The 21364-nt window shown below is 41.2% G+C and overlaps 1 protein-coding gene, 1 long non-coding RNA gene and 1 pseudogene across 4 annotated transcripts in view, besides 2 other annotated features; 1 reads left to right on the top strand and 2 right to left on the bottom strand.

Annotated features, from left to right (window-relative positions):
* Positions 1-4180, bottom strand: part of PLS3 (plastin 3) — an 89688-nt gene extending 85508 nt beyond the window's left edge. For both annotated transcript variants that reach the window (NM_001282337.2, NM_005032.7), the window contains exon 1: positions 4094-4180. The gene's annotated coding sequence lies outside the window, so the exon portion shown is untranslated. The remainder of the gene's footprint in view (positions 1-4093) is intronic.
* The window catches only part of PLS3-AS1 (PLS3 antisense RNA 1), a 44543-nt gene continuing 25801 nt past the window's right edge, over positions 2623-21364 (top strand). For both annotated transcript variants that reach the window (NR_110384.1, NR_110383.1), the window contains 2 exon segments: positions 2623-2728; positions 2824-2950. This is a non-coding gene — a long non-coding RNA (PLS3 antisense RNA 1).
* Positions 2631-3406: an enhancer, noted in NCBI's record as "H3K27ac hESC enhancer chrX:114796275-114797050 (GRCh37/hg19 assembly coordinates)". NCBI's record gives its function as "activates a minimal SCP1, AML or CMV promoter by ChIP-STARR-seq in naive H9 embryonic stem cells {active_cell/tissue: H9 hESC(naive)}" and the evidence as "EXISTENCE:reporter gene assay evidence [ECO:0000049][PMID:30033119]".
* Positions 16337-16838: an enhancer, noted in NCBI's record as "NANOG hESC enhancer chrX:114782854-114783355 (GRCh37/hg19 assembly coordinates)". NCBI's record gives its function as "activates a minimal SCP1, AML or CMV promoter by ChIP-STARR-seq in naive H9 embryonic stem cells {active_cell/tissue: H9 hESC(naive)}" and the evidence as "EXISTENCE:reporter gene assay evidence [ECO:0000049][PMID:30033119]".
* LOC124900493 (uncharacterized) lies at positions 19637-19717 on the bottom strand (annotated as a pseudogene).

Genomic DNA, 21364 nt, shown 5'->3' with positions numbered 1-21364 from the left:
TTCATTTTTGTATACTAACAATACTTCTTCATCCCTAAAACAGTTTATACTCACTAATATTTATCTTCCAAGTGTCAAGACTAAGGCAAAATTTGGTATTATTAAATTTATCGTGAATCTTCTGAAATTGTCTCACCTCCGTAACTAAAATAAATTGGCCCAAGTATGATCAGATCTTCTAAGACTGACATTTCACGATTAGACTGTTTCCATAACTTTAACCAAAGCGCTCTCATAACTAAAATCAGCTAGTCATGACCACTGGTATATAAAAATCTTCCAACATTGTAATGTATCCAAAAAGCTTTGAAACCTCCAACACACTGAATATACATTATATGGTATATCACTGTCTAAAATAATACAGACTCAAAACATGACCCAGCTGACTTCTTCTAAATGAGTTGTATTATTTTCACAGATCAAAAATTTTGCCTTCTGGATCACTCTTCACCAAAAGAAAAATTGCCATATGACCAAAGACAACATGATTCTAAAAACAGATACCCCATTGTTGTCATGTATTGAGAGATATTCATTTTCAAATTTTATTTTATACCAGCTACTTTCATAATCTGTACCAAACATCAAAAAAGAAACAGTTCAGCTTATACATTCCACATAGATTATGCTAGATCAAACACAACAGCAAACTCATGAATTTATCATATGTGCTAAGAACACTGTCAGTACATTTCATGAAAATCCAAGTAGAAATAATGCCTAAAACAGAATATGGGATAATGGCAAATGGACTTTCTTCTTGTACCCTCTCAGTGTCACCAAAAAGAACCACTTTGGTGCTCAAGCACCATGGCCAAGCTGCCCTTTTATTTTCAGTAACAGAATTCTGTTCTCCTGGGAGAAAAATCTCATTGGGTTTCTGATAGTGCCCTAGATACTGACATTCTGCCAGTATAAACAGTCACAGTCAAAGTCTAATGTGCGTGTAACCACTTGTGGAAGAGGCTTAATCTCACCCAAATTATTACTCACTAGTTATAATTAATCCTTCTACCCAAAATGCCATAAGCCTAGTCATTTTTATCAATTGAATCTAAATGGTTACATCAGACTAGAGACTTTGGACTTCAATGTTGATCGTCTGTATTAAGTCAAGGCAAAGTGTTATTTATTTATTAATAGCTCCCCACCTCAGGTAAAGGGGTTGCTATCTGCTAGATCTAACAGTAAAAATCAAGAATTTGACTCCCAGCCCCCTAATTTCAATAAAAATTTGGGCTCATTAGATCATACCACCAAAAAAAGTCAGCAATATTGGGGGTGGTGTTCAATGAGTAGGCATCCCAAGACAATGAAAAGCTGTGGACTAGAGCCTAGCGATGATTCTGTTTAGACATGATTTCACAATACTTAAAAAAGAACTTATCCCCCTACCACTGTAACCTAGTTGAGTGGTAATAACTTCCTTTTTTTGAGGTTAAACATTTATTATTTCGATCTAAAATTATATTATCACCTCACTTCCACTAGAGGGGTCTATCTACCAGTGTAGTTAACTCTAGTAACTCAGGTGCACCTTAAATCCATTTCCAGCTCATCTGTGCCACAAGGCTAGCCTTGGGGTCAGAACAATGTGCTTTAAGGTTGTTCTAGTTTTCAGGCTCAGAAACGGATGAACAGCAAGAAACTGGAGTGCTCCGGTCATTCAGAGGCTGCTGCAGGAGACAAAGGGTTTTTGGCAAAAGAATACAAAGTCAGAATCTCTTAAATATCTTCTGCCCTAGTTGTTTTCAAGACTGAATATGCATCAACCAGGTCCGTTTTTTCTTTTTTTTTCAGATAAGCAAAGCTTTTAAACTCCTGACCTCAGAGGCTCCTCTGCCTCTCTTCTATACTCTGTAATATATAATCTGAATAGCCAAATTGCCACGTTTTCCCAGAAGCAACCTTAACTTGGGCCACTTGGGCGGGTATAGGTCAATATGGGAAAGTTGTTTCAGTGTCCTCTCATTATTCTACCAAACCACTGACAGGCAAAAACCCAACCAACTCGATGTATCAAATTTACTATCCACTGTTTTTGTGCATGATTTCTAATCCAGTTAATTGAAAACCACAAATAACTGGTGGTTAATTTTAGTCAAGAGGTTATTTACTACCTTTAAGTAGTTGCCTAAAATAGGGAACAGTTCAATTAGAATATAGGCCAGACCAAGGAAGATGAACAGAGCCTTACTTTTTAACACTATCTTGTGGGATTTAGCTTCAAATCTAGTATTCAGGGACAAAATGAGGCATGAGTAATAGGATGACTTCCCTAGAAAATAATTAGTAAGATGTTTTTTAAATTTAGAAAAACCATGAGATTGAAGAAGAGAGGAGATACATGTCCCAGCTCACATATATTTCAATCCCTTATTTTAAAAACAGCTCCTGTTTTTGTTTTGGATAAAAGCTGAGCACCAAATTCCCTTTCTGGTCCCCTCATCCAAAATCCTAGTAGACTTCCTTGATTAGAAGCTAGTTCACACTCCTCCCCACCTTTTTTTTTTTCAAACGTAGAGGTGGTTTTTGGAATATGGGCCTCAACCATTACATTCCAGCTTTAAAGTAAAAAGACGTCATGTGACCATCAGAGACTTGGGGCACGTGATTCCAACTGGTATGTGTGGGGCTCCAGCCACTTAGTTGGAATTCACCATGAACTGCATCTCGAGGATCAAGTTTAGGCTCCCCAGTCCATTGTGACATCCAGCAAAGTGGAGTAAGTGCTTGCCCCTCAATGGTTTTTACTTTTCCCTACATTTTCTACCTACTGTTAGCCAGGCTCCCTTCCCTCCTCCCAATCCCTCTTAACAGGCCGGGCGCCCCCAGCATCCCGTCTGTCTGACGCTAAATGGCGAGGCTCTCCAACCCACTTAGCTCCAAGCTCAACCTTCTGCAAAAGTTCAACCTTCTGCACCACTGGGGATATCGTGCAGCTCAGGTGAGAGGCAAGGAGCATCGCATAAGGCTAGAGTCAGATGCCATTAACCCCCACTCCACCTCCCGGGCTGGGATCATCTTACGTCCCGGAGCCCGGCGGTCGGAACCGCCAGCACACTGGAGCAGCGACGGCGGCAGCAACTTTGGGACTGGCGAGAAGCCAGGGCGGGGGTGGTCGGCGTCCCCGGGCCTCTCATTACAGCGCTTAAGTACTGCGGGTGGAGAAAAGTAAACACAGGCAAGTGCAGCTGTGCGGGGAAAGGGCGGGGGGGTAGACTATTACCTCCCTCCCGTCGCCCCTTTGCCTCTCCCTCTCCAAGAGTCGGGAGAGGTCCGGGACTGCCGCCGCCCCGACCGCGCGCCCGGGGCCGCAAAGTCAAAGGAGCTGAAAAAAGGACAGGGGGTGTGGGGCCAGGGGAGAACGGAAAGGTACTGTCCTACTAGCCCAGAGATGTTCTCCTACTGAAAGGAAAAAAAGTGCTTACTCATAGGGAGACTAGGTGCGTTCGCGACGCCCTCGCTAAGGACAAGGGAGGGAAGCAGGCAGAAGGCAGGCAACCCAAACCTCGTGCCTTCCCTCGGCCACGGCCCCCCCTCTCCAGAGCCCCAGGGTCGGCTTAAGCCAGCCAGGTCACCCGAGGCGGGCGTGTGGGGGCTGGAGGAGTAGCAGGCTGCTGGCTCCGGGATTTCCTGAGTCCGGGCGGGAGGGAAGAGGGGATGGCAGTAGCTGGAGAAGGACGACAGAGGGAAGTTGTGCGCTCCCTTTCCACTTCGGGGCCGCAGCCGCGGAGGGGAATCAGGGCAAGGGCTGGCGTCTAGGACTCCAGCCCAAGACTGGCAACAAGTTAAGAGCAACTAGTAAGAAAACACCACTTAATACAGTGAAGTGCAGAAAACGTGTCTGCGGCGGATGCTAGTAGGGAAACTCCCCGTCACTCACACCCATTTCGGTTGCGACCGATCGCCCGGGCGCCCGAGGGCTCCAACTGAAATTTCTCCGACCTCCCTCTCCCCCAACCCCCGCCCCACGGTGCGCCGCACGTTCCTGCTGAGCTTAACCGAGATGCTCTCCCCGGGACCCACTCCTGCCCACGCCCAGGAAACCCGCTCCCCTAGTGCCCGCCGGCGCCTACAAAGCACTTACGTAAAGTCGCAGAGTCCTGGGTCTGGCCCGACTGCCGCCGACCAACCCACTCAGACAACTTCTGCACCTCGGAATCTTTGCAGCTGTGGCTCTAAAGCCAGCGCTCCCTCCCCTCCTGCCAGCCCCCTCCGCCCCTCGGCCGCCGCCATTGGCTCGGGTGGTGCTAGCAGTCGGCCTGGGAACCAGGAAGGGGATTGGGCCACGAGCCTGTCACATCAACTGGGTGGGGATCCAGGAAAATAGGCACGGGGATGGGCACCCAGGAGGGATAGGGACTGCAACTCTGCTGCAGGGAGAGGAGAATGGTCCCCAGCGCCTGAGTCTCCCCTTCCTACTTGGGCTAAGAGGAAGTTAGAAGTCCAACGTGCCTGGCTCGGAGTACACATTCACACAATCTTGTGGGATTAATAAAAAGATGAAAAAGTTGGGAACAAGAATTTGAATGCCACCTATATAAGTCTATGGGGGAGGGGTACAGTTTCTCCCAGAATCGTGAGAAGAATAACGGCATGTTGGGGAACATTCCTAATTACATCTGCAACAATCAGTCCAGGTGCCAAAGGGTGCAGAGGGAAACATCAGCAATCATTCCTTTCCTTAAGAAGTCAAGGGAGAAGAATATGGGCAGGGCAGGGCCCTCAAGCCTTTGGCCTCATGCCAAGTAAATTGTTAGCCCACATCACCTGTCTGGTATGTTTGTCCATGCGGAGAGGGGTTGAGAGGAGGTGGTTGGAAGTACATTGGTTCCACTCTTTTGACCGGAAATGGGTATCAATTCTCATCAGTCTCCTTTCACCAGAGAAAATTTGGAGACATGTTACTACTCCCCAGACTGCCATTTCTTCTCCTTCTCTGCCCAGGAGATGGCTTCCACGTCATAGCTGACCTCTTTCATTAATACACGTGGAGGTTATCTGCATTCCAAACCTATGGTTCATCGTATATCCAAAATCAACTCAGAGAGCCAGAGTTTGAGGGATTTTGCAGGGTCAGGTCAAGAGACTGACTTGTGGGATAGCTGTAGAAGAAAAAGTCTAAGCCCTTTCCTGTTCCAGTCGTAACCATTTTGTTGAGGAAATGTGTGCTTGGAAAGTTCTGTCAACATTTAAAATTAGTTCAATTAAGTCGCATTTTACATGTACCAGGAAAAAATGCTGAGAGGCTTTAAAATGGAATGTTCTTGAAAAGGAACCCCTATTTCATCTGCCATTATGAATTTCCTTAGAGAAATTAATCCGTAGTGAGTGCCAAGGCTTCTTAAAAGGGAAGAACTTGGGGAGTTCATATATTGCCTAAAGGCTAGACTAGCAGAGGACTTGGCACGAGGAAAAAGCCTTGTTAAATATTAATTAATGATTAACCAACTGGAAGAACTTATGAAAGGCACAGGAAGGTGAAAAAGAAATGGGAGGGCAATCATGCTTTCACAAACATTGAATTTCTGTTATGGGAGATTTTCTACTGGTTCAGGTTTGGGCCAGCACAAAAATACTGATTTCAACATGTTGGCGTTGGATTGAACATGGAGCCAGTGCATTGCCACACACATTTACAGTAAGCTCCCAAATGAGATTTCTAGCATTCAGTAATTGGCCAAAGGTTTGGTGTGACTTCTGGAATTCTTTACAAAAAATTTTTAGATACAGGAAATAGGCTTTTTCAGTTTTCTACCTTTTATGGTGTCTGTCGGTCACCGCTGAAGAGCTTCCACCTGCTCTTAAACTTAAAATTACAGACTGAGCAATAGCATGAAGGGACTCTGTAAGCTAAATTTTCCAGTGCAGATATATTTGTCTCAATTACGTTGTATTCAATTTTAGTTTATTTTTCAAATTCTAGAATTTAAAGTAAAAATATTAAGAATCCTACGTATATGCTATTTACAGTTCCTGTTTTTAATTCAAAAAAGCTTACATTGGTCCGAGTAGGGTAGCTCACGCCTGTAATCCAGCACTTTGGGAGGCTGTGCAGTGGGAGGATTGCATGAGGCCAGGAGTTCAAGACCAGCCTGGACAACATAGCAAGACCTCATCTCTACAAAAAAAATTAATAAAATTTTTTAAAAGCTTAATAGAATCTATACTTTGATAAAAGTCTTCATTCACCACTATCACTGAGGATGTCAGAATTCAGTCAAGAAATGTCATTTTAATTGAAATGCAATAGTCCATAGTTTCAAAGCTGCAGTGTACCTAGCTGATGGCATTAGTTCTCATTGCCTCAGTAACTTTCCAACAGATAAAACACACCCTAAACACAGAAGCACCTATTTGGATGCTAGCTGAGATTCCTGTTTAACAAGCTCCACTATATAATCCAGGTAGAACTCCATTTTAATGAATACTATTAAGATACCCAGCCAGTTTGATGTAACTAAGCTACCTTTGTGTTGCCCAGAATCTAAAGGATCTTTTCAAATTTAGCATTTTGCTGGAAGAAAGGATCCTCAGGCTCAAAGCTCTTAAACAGCATTTCTTTATAATTTTTCATGCCATCAATTTACCTCATAGAGGATCATTCACGAAGTAACCCAAAGTTGATTGTTTTCTTATCTGTATCAAAAAGCCTGCACAGATGTTTGTCAGGGTTCCCTCCACCTGCTTATAGGCTTTAATTTATTTTGACAGTGACTTGCATAGTGCCTGACACATAGGAGTTCAGTAAATGTTTGCTGAACCAATGGTTATTTTATGTCTATTCTTGTTAAACAACAGCAACAAAAAGCTATTAATATATATAGGATTCTCACAGACCTTGTGAATCAGTAACCTAAGAGTTTTTACCTTTCCTTCCATTTCCAATTTTCGATCCTAATGCCTTTGTAATAAATCACTTAAAGTCAATATCACAAAATTTTGAAAACCATTTATTCTTCCTGTCCTCCGCTGATATCATAAGAAGGCGCCAATATCTCTCTTAGGTTTTTTGTCTGTCCAAACTACTTTTCTTTCCTCCTTTTGATACGCACATCCCCCTTTTTCTTGCTCTTTTTCCTATTGTTCTGCCCAACACTCTCCCCAGTCTAGCTCACAATGTATTATGTGTACATAGTCTAAAATTTTCCCTGAAATTTTCCTAGAGTAAGTTGTCAGTTTCCTCTTCTATCCATTTTTAATTCTTTATTCTTAACATGTCATTGCTGGTTTGAACTTTTTTTTTTTTCCTTGAGACAGAGTTTCACTGTTGTCACCTCAGCTGTAGTGCAACGGCACAGTCTCAGCTCATTGCAACCTCTGCCTCCCGGGTTCAAGCGATTCTCCTGCCTCAGCCTCCCAAGTAGCTGGTATTATAGGCACCTGCCACCACACCCGGCCGATTTTTGTTTTTTCAGTAGAGATGGGGTTTCACCATGTTGGCCAGGCTCCTCTCGAACTCCTGACCTCAGGTGATCCACCTGCCTTGGCCTCCCAAAGTGCTGGGATTACAGAGGTGAGCCACCGTGCCTGACCACTGGCTTGAACTTTTTATCCATTTTTTATTTTATTTTATTTTATTTTATTTTATTTTTTCTTCTTTTTCCTCACCCCGTCTGAGATAATTTTTATCATTTTTTTTAAAACCTCCTTTCTGTAGTCTATTAAAAAATGATTTTGCTGCATAAACTTTATATAAGCCAGGAATAACTTAAAGAATCTTGATCAGTTCAATACTAAATCATTTTTCTAACACACCTAATTGTTTTCTCAGTCTCTAAATGTAAAATTGTGTACTAATCTGTTTTAATTAATTGTATTTTATTTTATCAGATTATTTTCAAGGAATTATCCTTTTTTAAATCATCTTTTTAATTCATGGATAATTCTATTCCATGTTGTGATATTTTAGGTTCTTGGATTGATCCTAATCCCTCTTTTTATTCAGTGTGCTGTGAGATGACATTTTTATTAAAATTAAGTATGATTTTAAAGGTTTCTCTCATACTTAAAATATTTGGCATAGAGGAAATCTTGGAAGACCTGGACAATTATTAATTTTTTTTTGATCCATAGGATACAGATTTGAACAGTTATTACCACTGTTTATTAGTGGAGTGTTTTTATGTTTCCAACTCAAAATGTACACATGTATAGGACATGAATATTAATAGTGAATAGGCAATTGTCAAATATTTTTCAAACCTAAAGATTATTATGAATGTGAATGCCTGCTAATGCAGGCCAACTATCTTACACGCACATTCACATAAAGAAATTACTCTGACATGTCCAAGCTTATTTCAGATTTTCACTTGTTAAAAAAAAAATTATCAGTATCTGAGAATAAGAAAATTAAAAAATAAAAAACAAAAAATTAATTGAAGTCTCTTTAATAGGATTAGGACATATTTAATCAGTATGGACTTTATAATATGTAGATTTAACAAAGATCACTATCATCACTGGAAATGCTCAAAATTAAAGTGTCACCCTCCCCTCTCCCGACTTTCTGGGTGTTAAATATCTAATTAATCAATCAGATAACTATTATAAGCAACATAGAAAAAGTATGGTCTCAAAACACAACGAATTAATAGTCTAATATTAATTCAAGATCAAAGTCCACATAACTGTAATAATGAGAAAACAATTCAAGATAGAATATATAAGAAGCACCGTAGGTAGGCTGAAAAGAATGAGAATAATAGGGCTAAAGCAGTTGTAGAAGGCATCCTTTGTGCAATGGAACTTGAGCTAGGCTTGACAAAGATGGGTAAGACTTGATATAGGCAAGTAGAAATGAAAACCATTTTCATTCCTAGGAAGTGATAAAAGAAAAACTTCAGACAAATTAAATTTAACATAGTTTAATTGAGCAATGAACGATGGGGCAGCCACCCCAAACCAGACTAGGTGCAGAGAGACTCTGGTGCTGCCACATGTTCATAGAGAATTTATGGACAGAAAAAGAAAAGTGACATACAGAAAATGGAAGTGGGGTACAGCAATAGCTGGATTGGTTACACCTTGGCATTTGCTTTATTTGAACTCAATTTGAACAATTGGCTGCTTTTATTGGCCAAAACTCAGTAATTTTTACAAGTGAGGGTTACAGTGTGTTTACACATCTGTTTAGGTTACAGTTCACTATGTATGGAAATACTGTTTTTTTTTTTTGGCAGGGTCTCGCTCTGTCACCCAGGTTGGAGTGCAGTGGCACGATCATGGCTCACTGAAGCCTCAATTTCCCAGGCTCAGGTGATTCTCACACCGCAAGTCTCCCAAGCAGCTGGGACTACAGGCTCGTGCCACCACACCCAACTAATTTTTTTTTGTGGTAGAGACGCGGTTTTGCCATGTTGTCCAGGCTGGACTTGAACGCCTGGGCTCAAGTGATCCACCTGCCTGGGCCTCCCAAACTACTGGGATTAGAGGCCTGAGCCACCACACCCAACCAGGCTAAACTTAATTTAACATAAGAAAGCAAAATGGGAGCGCTTTAGGTAAGTTTCTGAGTTTGGGCTTTCTTTCCAGGCTTCTACTTCCTTATCTGCAAAAGAAAAACTGAGGATTTGCCTACCACAAAGGTGCAGTGATAACATCAATGGGAAGGAAGATTGCTTGGGATCTCACTAACGTAATCTTTTTAAAAGAGAAAATATATTTTTTTAACACTTACTTTAGTGATTAAAAAGACTTGTGGGCTGGGCTCATGCCTGTAATCCCAGCACTTTCGGAAGCCGAGGTGGGTAGATCACTTGAGCCCAGGAATTTGAGACCAGCCTGGGCAACATCGCAAAACCCAGTCTCTACAAAAAATACAAAAATTAGCTGGACATGGTCGTGGTACATGCCTGTAGTTCCAGCTACTTGGGAGGCTGAAGTTGGAGGATCACTTGAGGCTGGGAGGTTGAGGCTGCAGTGAGCTATGATATCACCACTGAACTCCAGCCCGGAAAGCAGAGTAAGACCCTGTTGAAAGAAGGAAAGAAAAGAAGGAAGGAAGGAAAGGAGGAAGGAAGGAAGAAAGAAAGGGAGGGAGGGAGGGAGGGAGGGAGGGAGGGAAAGAGGGAAGCAAAAGGAAGAAAGGAAAGAAAGAAAAGAAAAGAGAGAGGGGAACATCACACACCGGGGCCTGTCCTGGGGTTGGGGGAGGAGGGAGGGATAGCATTAGGAGATATACCTAACGTAAATGTAGAGTTAATGGGAGCAGCACACCAACATGGCACATGTATAGATATGTAACAAACCTGCACGTTGTGTGCATGTACACTAGAACTTAAAGCATAATAATAAAAAAAAAAGAGAGAGAAAGAGAGAGAGAGAAAGAGAAGGAGAGAGGGAGGGAGAGAGGGAAGGAGGGAAGGAAAATAAAAGAAAAGACTTGTGAATCTTTCTTGTCTTACATTAATTAAACTGCCAAGTTACAGAAGGTCTTGCTTTTAGTTACAGTAATTTTGTTTGTCTGGTTTTTTTTTTTAATTTTTTAATTTAATTTTTTTTAAGACGGAGTCTCGCTCTGTTACCCAGACTGGAGTGCAATGATGCAGTCTTGGCTCACTGCAACCTTCCGACTCCTGGGTGCAAGCGACTCTCGGGCCTCCTGAGTAGATGGGATTACAGGTGCGCCACCACACCCGGCTAATTTTTGTATTTTAGTAGAGACTGGGTTTCACCATGTTGGCCAGGCTGGTCTCAAACTCCTGATATCAAGTGATCCACCCATCTCCCAAAGTGCTGGGATTACAGGCATGAGCCACCGTGCCTGGCCAGGTTACAGTAATTTTGACAGTTGCTTTAGTTAGAGCCATAATAATCCTTCCCTCAATGAGATTTACATAATTAATTGGCACATATCACATTTTGCTTTTAAGGAAGTATTATTAATAACATGCCTGTAACTTACACAGAATTTAAGGTAGGTGAGTGCACTAGCACGTACAACTTGATGTTATCATTTTGTGTGTCTGGGCTATAAAGCATTCTTTTTGGTGAAATATTCAACCTCAACCTTTATTAGAATGTAATTTGAAATATTGGAGGCTTCCTATGAAAAAAGTCTTTTAAACATATACAAACAACCCTGCAGAATAAATTGTAGCGCACATTTTAAAATTTATAAGGGTTATCCATAATTCTCCACAGCACTAGCCAGACTTCTAAAGAAACAGTCATGTCCAGTCTATTGCGTTTAACTGATTTCTGAATATGTGAGGCCAAATTTTGGTAAATTTATGAGTGTCTACCTGCATTATGTGTGTGTGTGTGTGTGTGTGAGAGAGAGAGACAGAGAGAAAGAGAGAGAATATGATCAGATATTTAAATGCTATAACTGATTATTCTACCAAGAATGCTTATAGTTAAATATTTGGGTCTGTGTTTACTAAGTATGCAAAATAATGACTTTAAAAAGAGATTGACAGTGTGACACCGTGGATGAACCTTGAAAACATTATGCTAAGTGAAAAGAGGCCAGTAACAAAAGACCACATATTGTATGATTCCATTTATATAAAATGTACAAAAAGGGAAAAATCCATAGAGACAGAAAGTAGATTAGTGGTTGCCTAGGACTGGGGGTATGGGCAATTGGGGGGAAATGAGGAGTGACTGCTAGTAGGGTTCCTTTTTGGGGTAACGAAAATATTCTAAAATAGATTGTAGTGGCGGTTGCGTAACTATATGAATAAATTTAAAACTATCGAATTGTACAATTTTAATTGGTGATCTATATGGTATGCGAATTAGATCTGTTACTTTAGGCAAGTTAAAATTAACAGAATTTAACTGAGCAAGAAAAACAAAAACGATTCGAGAATTAGCCAGCTCCCAGAATCAGAACAGATTCAGAGATTCTGGGGCTGCCCCATGGTCAGAGGAGATTTATGGACAGAATCAGGAAAATGACATACAGAAAACAGAAGCGAGTGCAGAAACAGCTGGGCCTTTGCCTTATTTGAGCAGGGTTTGAACAGCTGGCTGCCTGTGAGTGGTTGTTTAAGTATGGCGGCTGTGATTGGCTGAGACTCAGCTATTGTTATAGAAGCCTACTCCTAAATTAGGTTTTCAGTTTGTTTACCTACTAAGTTAGGTTGCAGTTTATACTTAAGAATTCGAGTGTACAAGTACAAAGACTTTCTCAGGCCAAATTTTAGTTTGATTTAACATATCTCTATATAGCTGCTATTCAAAAAGAGAAGGAGATTGACAGAATTAGGCTATTAAGCACAAGGAAAACCATACTAATGAGGATATGATATGAAAGGATCTGTAATTGCAAGGAAGAAACTAAACTCATGCAATCAAAAGGGCCTTGGGAGATAAATTCATCCACTTCTTGGTTAGCATGTTCCCATTTTTGTCACTGTCACTGAAAGAATAACATAGTGCTTTAACTTACTACAAAAGAGATGTAAATTAAACATTACAAAAAAAAAAAATTTCAAACAAATCAAATCAGCCAGAAACGGAACCTAGGCAGTAAAAGGTGATCTAGTGCTTCTCTGATACTTTTAAAAAGGTTTGAATCACCATATGACTAAATTGGTGCCACAGTTTTTTAAATCATGCCACAGTTTTCATAAATACTTGCGGTTATAAAGATAATTGGACATTTGGTTTAAGTAACCAAGAAATTCCTTAGGAAGTGTCACAGAAGGTTTCAGGATAAGAAGTTTCATTCTGAATCAACACACATCTCTTTGGTAATTCAGAACCAATAATGTTTTCACTGGTTTGTTTCTTTATCAATGCCATAGATTCACCTGAACAAGGGTGAAAATAGAATGTAAAGTTGTTCATTCAGGGAGGCATTCCCTTTCATACACTGAGCAACATTATCATAGCTTAAATCCCATTTGGTGGTTGGAATAGGGTAGGCCTAAAACTATGTTTAATTAAGGCTTTATAAAAAGTTTTAAATATTTGGGAGTCCTCTGGAAAGGACGCCACGTGAAATGCGATCATATGCCTAAGATTATCCTAAGTCAGAAGTTAGCAAACTTTGCCTGTAAAGGGCCAGATAGTAAATATTTTTGCATACAAGCCATACAGTGTCTGTTGCAACTACTCAACTCTGATGTTGTATTATGGAAGCAACCATAAAAATTAAATAAACAGGCTGGGCGGGTGGCTCACGCCTGTAATCCCAGCACTGTGGGAGGCCGAGGCGGATGGATCACCTGAGGTCAGGATTTTGAGACCAGCCTGGCCAACATGACGATACCCCTCCTCTACTAAAAATACAAAAATTAGCAGGGCATGGTGGTGCATGCCTGTAATCCCAGCTACTCAGGAGGCTGAGACAGGAGAATCGCTTGAACCCCGTAGGCAGAGGTTGCAGTGAGCTGAAATCGTGCCATTGCACTCCACCCTGGGCAACAGAGCAAGACTCCATCTCAAAAATAAATAAATAAACAAACAGCCGGGTATGGTGGTTCATGCCTGTATTCCCAGCACTTTGGGAGGCTGAGGGAGGCGGATCACTTGAGGCTGGGAGTTCGAGGCTGGCCTGGCTAACATGGTGAAACCCCGTCTCTACTACACATACAAAAAATTAGCTGGGCCTGGTGGCTTGCACCTATAGTCCCAGCTATTCTGGAGGCTGTGGCACAAGAATCATTTAAACCCAGGAGGCGGAGGTTGCAGTGAGCCGAGATTGCAGCACTGAACTCCAGCCTGGGCGACAGGGCAAGACTCTGTCTCAAAAACAAATACATATAAAATAAAAATAAAAATAAAAAAAATTAGCCAGCCACGGTGGCACGTTCCTGTAGTCCCAGCTACTCGGAAGGCTGAGGCACGAGAATCGCTTGAACCCGGGAGGCGGAGGTTGCCGCGAGCTGAGTTCGCGCCACTGCACACCAGCCTGGGCAACAGAGCCAGACTCCATCTCAAAAATAAATAAATTAAAAAATAAATAAAGCCGGGCACGGTGGCTCATGCCTGTAATCCCAGCACTTTGGGAGGCCGAGGTGGGCGGATCACGAGGTCAGGAGATGAAGATCATCCCTACTAAAAATACAAAAAAATTAGCTGGGCATGGTGGCGCGTGCCTGTAATCCCAGCTACTCAGGAGGCTGAGGCAGGAGAATCGCTTGAACTCTGGAGGTGGAGGTTGCAGTGAGCCGAGATCACGCTACTGCACTCCAGCCTGGTGACAGAGCAAGAGTCTGTCTCAAAAATAAATAAATAAATAAATAAACAAACGGGCATGATGGTGTGCCAATAAAACTTACCAGAACGGACAACAACAGTTTGGGTTGTCAGGCTGTAGTCTGTCGACTCCTGTCTGGATTACTGTTCTTGCTCCAATATGATCTTGTCATCTGGATGGAGCTGTGTTCTCAAAGAGGTATTTAGGAGTTGGTTTATGACTGATGATATGAAACAGATTGAAATTAGCACTCTTTCATTATTACAATCTTAGGTCTTCACAATCTTTCATACCAAGCAACTGATGGGATGGCTGTCTACTCTGTCTTCTTTTTTGCCTTTCAAATTTGAATGTAATCACAATGGCCGAATTTGCGGGTGGGAGGGAGTGAAGAGGAATAAAATGGCAACTACTATAACTACTGCTTATTGAGCTTCTTCTAGGCCTTGTACTAGAAACTTTATATACATGATCTCATTTAATGCTAATAACTATCTCATTAACGAAAGCATTATTTTTCCCATTTTCAGATGAGAAAACTAAGATTTAAGGAATAAGTAACTTTTGCCCAAGATCATTTTGCTGGTAATGCAGGAGCTGACATGTCTGAGTGTGTGGGATGATTCCATCTCTTGTCTGACTCTACAGTTTGTGATTAGAACCAAAGGATTTTACAGGAAGCATTCACTGTACTTTTATCTAAAAAAATAAGGCAAAGGAACACTATTATTGATTGCACCTTTCTTCTCACTTCCTTGAAAAAATGGTTGGCTCGCTGGTGATAAATCTCTTAGATAAGCACGTATGTTTTATTACATGCTATGGTCTGAATGTTTATGTTCCCGCAAAATTCATATGCTGAAACCTAATTACCTAGATGACAATATTAGAAGATATTGTATTAGAATATATGGTATGAGAAAATAGCAGAAGATGGTATTAAAAGGCAGGCTTAATATATCCAATTTTCGCTTTTTTTTTTTTTGAGATGGAGTTTTGCTGTGTTGTCCAGGCTAGAGTGCAATGGCACAATCTCAGCTCACTGTAACCTCCGCCTCCCGGGTTCAAGCGATTCTCTTGCCTCAGCCTCCTGAGTAGCTGGGATTATAGGCACGCACCACCACGTCTGGCTAATTTTTGTATTTTTGGTAGAGATGGGGTTTCACCATGTTGCGCAGGCTGGTCTTGAAATCCTGACCTCAGGTGATCCACCCACGTCGGCCTCTCAAAGTGTTGGAATTACAGGCATGAGCCACCGTGCCTGGACTAATGATTTTTGTACTTTTAGCAGAGACAGGGTTTCACCATGTCTCCCAGGCTGATCTCAAACTCCTGGCCTCAAGTGATCTGCCTGCCTCAGCCTCCCAAAGTGCTGGGATTACAGATGTGAGCCACCATGATCGGCCAATTTATCCAGTTTTTTTTTTTTTTAGAAAATACATGATTATAGCCCAACTTATTCTACCTGATAAACTCTGAATTATGGGTCACATAAACCATTTTAGAGGGGTAGTTTTAAACCAATTAAATTTATTCTAAATTTAATGTGTTATAAAAAGAAAAACACTCAAAGCATACGGCTGGCATTTCATTCAATTTTACTTAATTTAGGGTCTTTTGAAGCATCAAATTTTAAAAGTAAAATAATTTGATAATTAAAACCATGGGATATTTGTATTAGAAGGAATATTATAGACCACTTCCCTCACAGTACAGATGAGTAAAACTGAGCCCTGCAACAGCAAAATGACTTGCCCTAATCTTTTGCTTTTTCAAGTCCTTTTATAAAGTTACTTTAACAGGTGGCCTTTTGAGGATTATAATTTTCTTTTTATATATTTCCTTTTTAAATGTGGCTTTGCAAATATACTACATAATGATGCACTTCAGAGACATTTCCATAACGGATGTCATGTAGTAGGGTGGAGTCCCTTTCAGCTGTCAGTGTTCTATAGAAGTGACGTCAACAGTAGGGTACTGGCTCAGTAGGGTATAAGTGTGTTTCAAAGTCTTGCACCTACGCAGAAGTATAGGGCCAGTACTGGACTGACCAAGGTCAGGAACCTTGTCAACCAAAGGAAATGAAAAATCCAAGCCTTAAGGATCTAATCCAAGATAAGGGGTTGATGAGGAAGCAAGGTAAGGCATAGAAAATCTGAATAGCACCTCAGTGGAGAGATGATTTGTTAGTTTTGAGACAGTACCCCAGACAGATCACAGAATGCAAAGATTCTTTATTTGAGCTGCTCCTTGAACCTGCTGTCTAATTAATAACTCTGATTGTAAGAGACATGAAAGTCACTCTATTATTCCTTGGGAGGCTGGAGTAAATTATTCACATCATTAGGAACAATTCAATGTCTGCAAAGAGGTCCCTTGTCAGGTAATTCTGCCACACAATGGAAAGGCTTCATTTGCTTTGCTTCCTTAAGTCTCCTTTCTCCCTTACCTGATCTTTGAGTATATACGATCTTTTTGTTCTGTTAAAGGAACAGATCCTTTCTTTTCTCTTCATCAAAGCTGATAAATAAATTGCAGCTTTTTAATAACCTTTCCAATTTCTTTTTTACCTTCATCAAAGCAGGTACTGCTCATTAAAATGGCATAATCGCTCAGGATTAGTGTGAATTTCAGCTTTTACAGAAGAGAAATCCCACAAAGGAGAGAAGCATAGGTAACAGATTGCAAAGGGTTGGCAATACTTCCCTTAAATCTGAATGTAAATACCAGCCTCTCCTAGCTCCCAGCAACGTATACTTATGTATTGGAGCTCCCCAGATGCACAGAATGGATGTGCAAGATGAGAACCAGTTGTCAAGGATTCTTTCTTCTTTTGAATTTCTCTTGCAATATTTAAAATAGTAATATGTATCTTTTTTTTTTTACCGGAAATGATTCAGAACATTAAGGTCTTTCCTGTGCCTTGTTTTCCATTTTGAATTAAATATATTATTTTTAAAAAATGAATCAATACCTTCATTAACATTTATATCAACCCATTTTTTTTTTTTTTTTTTTTTTTTTTTTTGTGGAGGAAGGAAAAGGCTCTGAAGATTTGGAACAGCTCAGCTTCCAAAGTGCAGGTCAGAAAATTGGGCTAATTGAATGCTTATCAGTAGTACTGTAATTTTTTCCAGATGCCTTATAGCATTTTATAAATAATTAGAAATAAGAGTTTCATTTCTAAAAGGGAAACTGATACATAATTTATAATGTGTATGAAAGCGTAAAGTATTATATAAATTCAAGAAATACACAGATTTTTAATTATTTAAAAATTATATAAAATGAAAGTGCTATGCTCATAGCTAATTTTTATATTTTCACTTATTCCTATTATAAACCATCAAATTAATTGTAATGCTTTGGTACTCCATGGAAAGTATTTGCTTAAACAGTAACATCTACAAACTTAAAACCAATATCTTAAATCTCATTGCAAGGTACAGTTCTTTTCCAGGATCCCTAAAATAGGTAATTTCAATGATTGCCCTGAAGGCTTTATAGAAATACCAGGAGGCCAGTAGGTGGCTCACGCCTGTAATCCCAACACTTTGGGAGGTGAAGGGGGAAGATTGCTTGAAGCCTGGCGTTTAAAACCAGCCTGTGCAGGAAAATGAGACCCCTGTCTCTACAAAAAATTTTAAAAATTAGCAGGGCATGGTGGTGCACACCTGTAGTCCCAGCTACTCAGGAGGCTGAGTCAGGAGGATCCCTCAAGCCTAGAAGTTGGAGGCTACAGTGAGCTGTCATAGAGCCACTGCACTCCAGCCTGGGTGACAGAGCAAGACTCTTTTCTTTCTTTCTCTTTCTTTCTTTCTTTCTTCTTCTCCTTCCTTCCCTCCCTCCCACCCTCCTTTCTTTCTTTCTTTTTTCTTCTTTTCTTGCTTTCTTTCTCTTTCTTTCTTTCTTCTCTCTCTTCCTTCATCCCTCTTTCCCTCCCTCCCTTCCTTCCGTTCGTCCTTCCTTCCTTCCTTTTTTTTTTTTTTTTTAGACAGAGTCTCGCTCTGCGTCTCAGGCTGGAGTGCAGTGGTGTGATCTTGACTCACTGCCACCTCTGCCTCCTGGCTTCAAGTGATTCTCGTGCCTCAGCTTCCCCAGTAGCCAGGATTACAGGCTTGTACCACCATACCTGGCTAATTTTTTGTATTTTTAGTAGAGACAGGGTTTCACCATGTTGGCCAGGCTGGTCTTGAACTCCTGGCCTTCAGTGATCCACCCACCTCAGCTTTCCAAAGTGTTAGGATTACAGGCGTGAGCTACCATGCCCAGCCTGAGACTCCTACTTAAAAAAAAGAAAAGAAATATCGTGAAATCACTGTTGGTTTGTACTGCTTAAAAATTCAATCTTAATTGCAAAACACTTCCTTTTATTTTGTAACACTACTCAACACATTTATAGATCATTTAACAAGATTTAATTTTATAGGTAATGAGTTTTCAAGGTATATGCAGATTTTGGCAATGTTTTCTGGAATAAGAAAACATGGAACTCTCCAAACACAATATAGTTATGATTCAACATGAAAGCTGTCGTTTTTATTTCGTACTCTTCTGCATATTTGCTTCAGACAGCTGTTCTCTTATCATTGGTTGGGTCCTGGTATATTGTCTGGAAAGCAAGGTGATAAATATTCATGACTTATGATGTTTTAAAGTAATTGCAAGTAAAAAATGATTGCATTGATAATTGATTTTAATTCCTTTTTGTTTTGTTTTGTTTTTCCCCCTCCACATTATGGGGTCATAAGTTTTTAAAAACTTAAGTTATTATTGTACCTATTCCAGGATCTTCTCAGAAAGGCAGGAAAAAGGGAATTATTTCTTTTTCTAAAATCAAATGCAAATGATCAGATATTGAAACATTAACATGCAAATTAGTGAAACATTCCACAGATTTTCTGCAGCTGCTCCTCACCCCCTCCCTCAACTCCCACATTCCCTTATATATTCTAGCCACACCAGATATTTCATTATTTCCCAAATTTGCCTGTATACCTATATAATCCAGCTTGGGAGAGTGGAATTGAAAACGTGTGTTTAGGAGAGAGTCAGAATTTGGTTTAAATCTGTGTTTATCTCTTACTATCTCTGTAGCTTTGGAAAAGTCACTTCATCTCTGTGTGCCTTGGTATCTTCATGGGAAAATTCAGACAATTGGCACCTCAACATAGTGCTAGGTATATAGCACATGCTCAATAAATTGTTATTGAGTGAAGGATAAAATATAACATATAAACCACCTAATACAGTGCCTGGCACATACTACTGGTAAACAGTAACTCATGATTTACCCTCTGTTCCTCTCTGAGGCCTGCTCTCACATTCCTTTTTAATCTAGCAGATACCTAACTATCCTTCAAGTCCCACATCAAATGGCATATCCTTGGAAATGATTTCTCTAACCCTTCCAGGCAAAGCTAATGCTTCTAGGTCTGCATTCTCATAACATCTTTTTTCCCCCCATCCAGGACCTGTTGTGCCCCTCAAGGAAAGAGAGGCCACCATAAGGCCAATCTGAGTTCCCAAAGAGTAAGGGAGGAGACCACCCCTCATATTGTCTTATGCCCAATTTCTGCCTCCAAAAAAAGAAAAAGTAAAAACTAAAAGGCAGAAATGAAATCCACAAGTAGACAGCCCGGTGCCATACCCTGGGCCTGGTAGTTAAAGATCGACCCTGACCTAATCGCTTGTGTTATCTATAGATTACAGACATTGTATAGAAAAGCACTGTGAAAATCCCTATCCTGTTTTGTTCCGATCTAATTATCGGTGCATGCAGTCCCCAGTCACGTACCCCCTGCTTGCTCAATCAATCATGAACTTCTCGCGCAGCCCCTTAGAGTTGTGAGCCCTTAAAAGGGACAGGAATTGCTCACTTGGGGTGCTCTGCTCTTGAGACAGGAGTCTTGCGGATGCCCCCGGCCGAATAAACCCCTTCCTTTTTTAACTGGGTGTCTGAGGAGTTTTGTCTGCGGCTCGTCCTGCTATATGTCTTGGTTCCCTGACCGGGAAGCGAGGTTATTGGTGGATGGCCGAGGCAGCTCCTTAGGCGGTTTAAGCCTGCCCTGTGGAACATCCCTGCTGGAGACTCCGACCAGCCCGAGCGACCCGGATCCTGAGAGCGCTCCCGGGTAGGCGGCATTTGCCCCGGTGGGATGCCTCACCAGAGCAGTGTGTGGCAGACCCCCATGGAGGATCAATGCAGTGGCTGAACACCAGGAAGGAACAGGCACTTGGAGTCTGGACATCTAAAACTTGGTAAGACTAGTCTTTGAAACTTGCCCACTCCATTTGAGTGGAAGCGTGGCCTGATCACCCACGGCGTGCCTTTATCGGCACTTTGATTTTGGTTTTGGTTTTGACTTGGTTTGAATTGCTTGACAGGATTGGTCTTGGGAACTTGCCTACTCCATTTGAGTGGAAGCATGGCCTGATCACCCACGGTGTGCCTATACCGGCATTTCGGTTTTTGTTTTTGACTTGACTTGGATTGCATGATACTTTGGTTCTGGTTTTGACCTGGCTTGGATTTCTGGATACTCTGATTTTGGTTTTGGTTTTGACTTGGTTTGAATTGCTTGACAGGATTGGTCTTGGGAACTTGCCTACTCCATTTAAGTGGAAGCATGGCCTGATCACCCACGGTGTGCCTATACCGGCATTTCGGTTTTTGTTTTTGACTTGACTTGGATTGCATGATACTTTGGTTCTGGTTTTGACCTGGCTTGGATTTCTGGATACTCTGATTTTGGTTTTGATTTTGGTTTGGTGCAAACTGCAAAAGTGTGTGTGTGCTCTTTTTTACCCGTTCTTTGTTTTGTGGTGTGCATGTGGTGTGAGCATGGTGTTTTGTCTCGAAGAAGCATAGGTCAGGCACAAATAAGCCCACCCTACTAGGAACTATGTTGAAAAATTTCAAAAAAGAATTTAAAGGAGACTATGGAGTACTATGACACTAGGAAAACTTAAAACTTTGTGTAAGATAGACTGGCCAGCATTAGAGGTAGGTTGGCCATTAGAAGGAAGCCTGGACAGGTCCCTTGTTTCAAAGGTATGGCACAAGGTAACCTGTAAGCCAGGGAACCCAGACCAGTTCCCATACATAGACACTTGGTTACAGATGGTTTTAGACCCCCTACCCCCAACACACAGTGGTTGAGAGAACAGCAGCATAAGCGGCTGGCAAAGGCAAGGAAA

The sequence above is a fragment of the Homo sapiens genome, chromosome X (genome assembly GCF_000001405.40).
Source record: "Homo sapiens chromosome X, GRCh38.p14 Primary Assembly".
Taxonomy (NCBI): Eukaryota; Metazoa; Chordata; class Mammalia; order Primates; family Hominidae; genus Homo; species Homo sapiens.
Note: the sequence above shows the minus strand (reverse complement) of the source record. Positions and strands in the feature narration are given on the sequence as shown.